Source organism: Homo sapiens, chromosome 2 (assembly GCF_000001405.40).
Source record: "Homo sapiens chromosome 2, GRCh38.p14 Primary Assembly".
NCBI lineage: Eukaryota > Metazoa > Chordata > Mammalia > Primates > Hominidae > Homo > Homo sapiens.
The window spans coordinates 104,726,578-104,734,073 of record NC_000002.12 but is presented as its reverse complement, the minus strand read 5'-3'; the positions used below and the strand labels follow the sequence as shown (position 1 = coordinate 104,734,073).

Sequence of the window (7,496 nt, the reverse complement as noted above, 5' to 3'; positions counted from 1 at the left end):
AAGGTGACATCTACCAGGCAGCCCTGACATTTGGCGTGGAGAAGTTGCTGGTGGCATAGAAGAGTTAGAAAGTTCCATTGTCTAGGGTAGCCAGCATTTTATGTTAACAAGTATGGCCGGGTTGAATTGGGAAGGGTCAAGCAAATCCTCTTCCCTCAACTTGTATCTAGACCACAGTTTTGTGGAACTGAACCTGTGAGGAGGGACTAGCAGGGCTGTGGTGGGCCTCCAGGGACATGGGTTACCTATGTGAGAGGTCATCCCTGCACTGTGCTCTAGAGGGCGACATTCGTGCTGGACTCCAGGTGAATGCAGTTCCTGTAGGCATGCGTGGTGGCCCTGGTCTGGTGCCTGGGACTCTGCTCCTTGGCCAGGTCACACGGGAGATTTGAGCTCTCCCAGCACTTGCAGCCTTGCTCTCAGAACTTGGCAGCACCGCCTCTTAACCTAGCATAGGTTAATAACAGCAATATTTTTAAATGTTTGAAATATTTTGATACTGGAAACTATTCTTAAAAACATTTAATGAATAAGTTGTCTTTTACATATTGTTAAGCCAAGGTTAAAAGACTCAATGAAAACTTTGCTCCTTATTGGTGACAACATGGATTTGCATGCTTGGTGTTTATTTGGTTGAACAGACAAAGAATGTCTGTTGACATTTTTTCCAAGCTACTCACACTGATAGCCCAACACCTTCTTCTTGACCTGGTTTATTACCAGAGTTTATAAAACCAGACCTAGGGAAAGAATTAAGTCTGGGGACATGTGCGTGGCCTTAATATAGCCAATCTTTATAGCCTGTCCTATTACAAAATCAGAACAGCAAGATATTCTCAGGAGCAGCTTCCTCCGACCCCCTGGTGTGTTCCTTTTGAGCGTGTGAATTCTGGTATACGCCTCCCCAGGACACTGGCTTCAACCAAATAAACACCAAGCATGCAAATCCATGTCGTCACCAATAAGGAGCAAAGTTTTCATTGAGTCTTTTTATCTTGGCTTAACAACATGTAAAAGACAACTTATTCATTAAATATTTTTAAGAATAGTTTCCAATATCAAAATATTTCAAACATTTAAAAATATTCCTGTTATTAACCTACACTAGTTGATAGCTCTTTTGTTAAGTCCACTGAGAAATAAAAACACGTGGTTAACCATCAAATAAATTATGAGTAGATTGAATATAAATCACAGAGGTTTAAAGACTGCATACAAATTACAAAGGCTTCACATGTATGTGTTCACAATATGTTCTTAAATATAAGACAGTTTGATTCTTGATCATATCTGTTCTCCATCACCTCCACAGAAGTCCTCTTTGCAATAAACGAGTATTTAAACAGTTTCCAGAATAATAGGTATCTTCTGCCTATTTCACCAAAATACAGTTTTGTCTTTTAAAGAAAACAAAGAAATATATTTGTCAGCCATAATGAGTTTTAAAGACCCTCTTTAAACGTGGGTATGCCTCAAATTAAGAAAACCAGACATTTAAATAGTTGACCTTACAGAGCACATGAATTAGAGGGTAATTACTTAAATGTTCTTCAGTTTGTGAAAGGATTTACAACAGGGTTCCTCTAAATAGCTAACTCTCTAGTGAATTTAAATTACTAGTGTGTGTGTCTTAAAATCAGTTCATTTTTTTTAAAAAAGAAACATACCTGTTGCATAACACAAGGTGTGTTAGAATTAAGAAATGCTGGTGGGTTTTCCCCTTGGTTAAGCGAGTCTTTAGGTTACACTGGAACTCATATTTACCAAGCCTTTTTATGGGAGGAAGAATTAGTCAGTAAAAAATGCTGAGCTCATGTTTGCACTGGCTCCATTTCCTGTCTGGAATAAGAGGTAGGGCCGCCAGGGAAGTCCTGGTGGTATGAGTTTCCTTGGGTTTCCACTGGGGAGTGGGGCCGAGGGGATATTGAATGTACTGTGGAGCCCATGGCTGTCCTGGGCTGAGCCTTTCTGTCTTGGAGTGGGAGTAATGAAGGTGGGAGTAGAGTGGGGTGGGGATGGGAATGATTCCAGTGGGGAAGACTATCAAAGAACATTGAGGGGGAGAAACCATTGACCTCATTGGAATCCAGCTCTGTGACCATGGGTAAGGATTGAAACCCATTCTAGCCTTAATTGTACCATCAGGCATGGAAATTCAGCCAATGACAAGAAACTGTCATTATCAATATCTCCACCTGTCATTGACCCTGGTTGCTTCTAAAGACTAATCTCATGAACGTTATTCCTAAGGGGGTTGACCTTTTGAAGTCATAGAAAAGTTTCTGCTTCTTGTTACCTCATGCGTGGCTTTTCTTTCTGCCTCTGCTGCAGTTTGTTGCTCTAAATAGAGGCTATGTGCCATGATTTTGCCCTCAGTGTTTACATTCAACTGGACCAGTTCTGCCATTTTGAACAAAAAGCATGTCTTCAGGATTGGGTCCCAAGATCTTTATGTCCAAGCCTTAGTCTGCTACTAATTACCAATCCAAAGTGAAGTGTTCATCATTCATTTATTCTACAAATATTTACATGTCTCCTACTTCATGTCAGTTACTGCTATTGTCACTGGAGGTATCAATGAGACAGATAAAATGTCAGTTCTAGTTGGTGGAGATAAGCAATGGTAAATAAAACAAATAGATACATAATTATTATCGGTGAAATTTTTAAAATAAGGAAAACGTATTATATTTTCTATATAGTCATAGGAGTTTTAATGTAAAAAATTGCCATTATGCCAACATTATATCTTTCTTAGTATTTTAGAATCAACATTTTATTTATATTTATTTATAATTGTTATATCAGATGATGATTAAAAATTTAGCACAATTAAAAGTTGGTGTGGTAGTTGGGCTCCAAGATTGTCTGCAGTGACCCCTACATGGTGGTATTTGCACGAGGATGTAGGATTGGTACAAGGGCTGGTCTGTGTGAACAACAGAATATAGCAGAGGTGATGGTAGTCAATTCTGAGACTGGTTTCTGAAAGGCATTATTTCCTATTGAGGTCACTCTCTCTTGGATTACTGGGTCTGGGAGAAATCAGCTGCCATTTTGTGTGCAGTCCTATAATGAAGTTCACATAGTGAAGAACAGGTAGGGAAGAAACAAGGCCCATTGTCAACAGCTGTGTGAGTGGGCATGGGAAACCATCTCTCCAGCCCCAGTCAAACCTTCAGATGATACAGCCTCAGCCAATGTCTCAGCTGCAACTTTATGAGACACCCTGAGCCAGATCCATCTGGCTGGGCCACTCCTGAATTCCTGACCTGTGTGATAATAGATGTTTATGTTTTAAGCCACTAAGGTTTGGTGCAGTTTGTTATGCAGCGATAGATTGCTGATAGAGTTGGCAACCTGACTGCTGTATTACATGCAAATAATGAAGACCCAGAAGTGTAGCAACCACCATCCCGTGTGAAAATAAATTCTCTTGGCAAAAGAATCTGGACAAAATTATACTTGTTTGTGCCATCAATTATTCTGTGCATTCTGTTCCTTGCACTTGTCAATGTTACTACTGTTTAGACATAGCACACACTTATGCATGAACTATAACTTCAGTGTGGCTGCTTCTCTTGGCTGAACTATCCTCTTATCTCCATTTCCTTTATCCAAATCCTATTCCTTCTTTTAAGCCACATTATAATGCATTTAATAGCAGTTACCAGATAGCCAACTAATACTTTTTTTTTTTTTGAGACGGAGTCTTGCTCTGTCACCCAGGTTGGAGTGCAGTGGCACGATCTCAGCTCACTGCAAGTTCCGCCTCCCAGGTTCATGCCATTCTCCTGCCTCAGCCTCCTGAGTAGCTGGGACTACAGGTGCCCGCCACCATGCCTGGCTAATTTTTTGTATTTTTAGTAGAGACGGGGTTTCGCTGTGTTAGCCAGGATGGTCTCGATCTCCTGACCTCGTGATCTGCCTGCCTCGGCCTCCCAAATTGCTGGGATTACAGGTGTGAGTACATTTTTTACAGGTAATTTTCCTAGAGAACCTGAGAAGTAGAAGGAAGACTATTTTGCACCTGTTGTTTTATTAGTGCCACCCTCTTTCACTCTTAGAAGTGTCCAGCTTTGGAAAAGTCTTATGGCCATCCTAGCTAAAAGTAAAAATCCTATCAATTTATTTTAGGTTGTCTCATTTTGCAGATTTTTAGGGTGAGGACTAGAGTCCATTTTTGAAAGTGAGTGATAAGATAACTAAACTTGTCTACATCTCCTCTATGTGGTAATATTTTCCTTCCTGATGTCTGTGTGGAGAGAGACAAGGCTCCCTTGGCCCACGGAGTTCCTAAGCAAACATCAGCATTAGAGCCCAGAGTGGTAGCTGGGTGCCTAGCACTGCCACAACTGTATCAACCATAGCCATGAACATTAATGGGTTCCTTTGCTCCCCGAAGTGCTGAGGGAGATGCAGTGAAAGTGGTTCTTCTCTTGTAGCTTAGAGACTGAAGCAGGTGTCTCGGAAGGCATCTCCAACTTCCACAGTGAGCTCTGAGAGAAAGGCTTAGCCCTAGAAACCATTATCAGCATGTGTGTTTCCTGCAAGGTCTGCCCTTGGACAACCTGGGCAGTGGGCAGACTCTCATCATGTGGGCAGACCCGGACCTTTCTGTGAAAGTAGAATGGTTCCGATTTCAGCCATGACAGCCAAGAAAGATTCCTCTCACACCTGGGTTTTATGGCATGGAAAGTTAGGGTGCCACTGGAGAGGCAGTGAAGAGAGGGGAAAATAGCCCAGGATTTGAAGTGGGACCCATCTGGATTTCAGTTCTTCTGGCTAAACTGCTTCACATCTCCGAGCCTCAGTTTCTTTCTTTTGTACTAATGCCAACTTCCGAGTGTTATTATGAGGATTAATTAGGAAAAGGGTAAAGCACAGAACACAGGGACTGGCATAATTACAGCATACTGGCTATTTCTGAATAATGGACTTGGATGAGGGAAGTCATGAAGACTCTCCTCAATGTGTTTCCCTGCTCCCTGCATCACATTCAGTTCAGGGTCTTTGAGGTTGCTGCCTCCCTCTGCCTGGGACATTTTTCCTCTCTTTGCCTATCTATACCTTGTCTATCCCTCAAGCCCATTTATCTCTATTCCCTATTGATTTCTTGATCTCTCTCCCCATCTCTCCATCTCTATCTCCGTGATTCATCTAGATTGAGCCTTCTTAGCCTGGAATTTAATAATTGTATGCAATGTTAGAATCTGTGTCTCGATCCTCTTCATGCTGCTAGAATGTCTTCGAGCATAGGAATAATGTCTTGGATGGGACAGGGTTCAGGCCATGTGAAAAATAAATACTAATTGGTTGTCTTTAAAAAAAATAGAGCTATGAATGTAGAGGAAATACTTTTATTTCTGGAAGCACCCAAATTCTTATGAGGAGAATATGGACGGTTGCACCAGCCTCTTCCCTGATACATCCTGTATTAGTCTGTTCTCATGCTGCTAATAAAGACATATTGAGACTGCATAATTTATAAAGGAAAAAGAGGTTTAATAGACTCACAGTTCCACATGGCTGGGGAGGCCTCACAATCATGGTGGAAAGTGAACGAGGAGCAAAGGCACGTATAACATGGCAGCAGGCAAGAGAGTGTGTGCGGAGGAACTCCTCTTAATAAAACCATCAGATCTCAGGAGACTTATTCACTATCATGAGAACAGCGTGGGAAAAACCCACCCCCATGATTCAATTACCTCCCACCAGGTCCCTCCCATGACACCTGGGGATTAGAGGAGCTATAATTCAAGATGAGATTGGGGTGATGAAAGAGTCAGACCATATCACATTCCAACTGTTTAGTGTTGATTTAAAAAAATTCAAATGCAGAGTGACGACATAGTTCTTTTCTTCATCTCATGAAACTTTGGTTGTGAATCAATGACTGAGGAAATCTGACCCAGGAAGATTTTAATACCTAAAAATGGTTAAAGAAATCCTTGTTTATAGTGGTCCTCTACACCTTCAAATGCACAGGTAGATTTCAATGTCTCTCAGCTCAGCTTCAGGCATGCCTGGAAGTTGAGGATGTATGCCATGGAATACAGCATTGGAGGCTTCAAGCAGCTGAAACTAACTTGCTTGGACCAAGGGCTCACAACTGGGGACATGGCCCAAATTGCACTAGCATTTACTCTGTGCCAAGGCAACCAGCTTCCAGAGTGAGACAAGATGGGGGTCTGGGGCTATGAACATGTGAATAAAGTCCTGAGCTATAAAAATAATGAATAAATAAAAACCAGGAAAATATTTCAAGTTCTTATGTGGCAACATCTCTAGATCTAAAATGTAGCAGGAGGAAAATAATTGAAGACATTTGTCATGTGCTACAGGTGAACTGTGACCACATCTGACATCACCTGCAGCTTCCTTATAACATGCCCACTGGGCAGAGAGGATGAGAGGCAGGAGAGCACCAGTGTATTTAGGACCAACTTTTGAAATTTAACCATTAAGTTCAGTCCCTCCTACTCTCCATAAAACAGGCCCATGTCTTTTCCATCTTGGTCTTCCCAGCACTCAATAAAAGGTTTTGAAATAGATAATGACCAAAATGCGTGCTATAATTTTAGTTCCTAATTTAAATGGCAAAAAAATGCATATTTCACTTTCTAATTGGGAATCTGGCAAGCTGTATTCAAAGCATTTTAGAGTCTTGCTTGCTATTCACTATTTCTTCTCCTGTTCTCCAAATATAAGACAAAAGAATAACCATTTATGGAAAGTTAAATGCTAAGCTACATGTCTTCATGGATTGCATCTTCTTTGAGAAACATATATTCACCCTACATTCCATGAGATTTTTCTTCTTTATTGAAAGGTAAAATATTCTGACATTTCTGGGATGATTTTGATCATATTGATTACCCTTGTTTATTTATCAATTACCATTTGTTAGTGACCAGCTTTTTTTTGGAATTAGAAAAAGATACATTTGGGCTTATGAATTTTGTGTGCTTGTCCATTTATTTTCTTTGGATAAATTTCTAGAAGAGAATTCTGCAATAAAGAGCATACATATTTTAAGGGTTTTTTGATACATATTACCAACATGTGCTTCCACCCTTTGGTTATTGATCAGTTGCAAATAACCAAAACCAACATGGCCAGTTTAAACGGAAAGGAATTTATTACTAATTCTTTGGCGTTTACAATTGTTGGAGGGCTGGAAGACCTGTCTTTAGGCTAAGCTTCTATGGAAACAACTAGTCCCTGGAATTTCATTACCTGTGCCATGATTAAGCAAGCAGCCAGTTCTGCCATATCAGGAGGCTGCTGGTAGTAAACCCTAACTTCTTCCACTAGAATCGACACCACCAAACAGATACCTTGTCATGGTCACTGAGGATGGTCCAGAGAGGCCCCTGGAGTTGTAGTGAGGTAGCAGTTTCAAGTTCCACAGCATTATTCAATTGCTAAATTACCCTCTCGCAGCATTCATTCCTGGATATGAGAGGCTTTGGAAAAGTAAAGCACAAAGCTGC

General features: G+C 40.9%; 1 non-coding gene across 1 annotated transcript; it reads right to left on the bottom strand.

Annotated features, from left to right (window-relative positions):
• Positions 1–711: 711 nt before the first annotated feature.
• LOC124900520 (small nucleolar RNA SNORA72) lies at positions 712–840 on the bottom strand. The gene has a single exon (XR_007088711.1). It is a non-coding gene; the product is annotated as a small nucleolar RNA SNORA72 (small nucleolar RNA).
• Between the last annotated feature and the right edge of the window lie 6,656 nt (positions 841–7,496).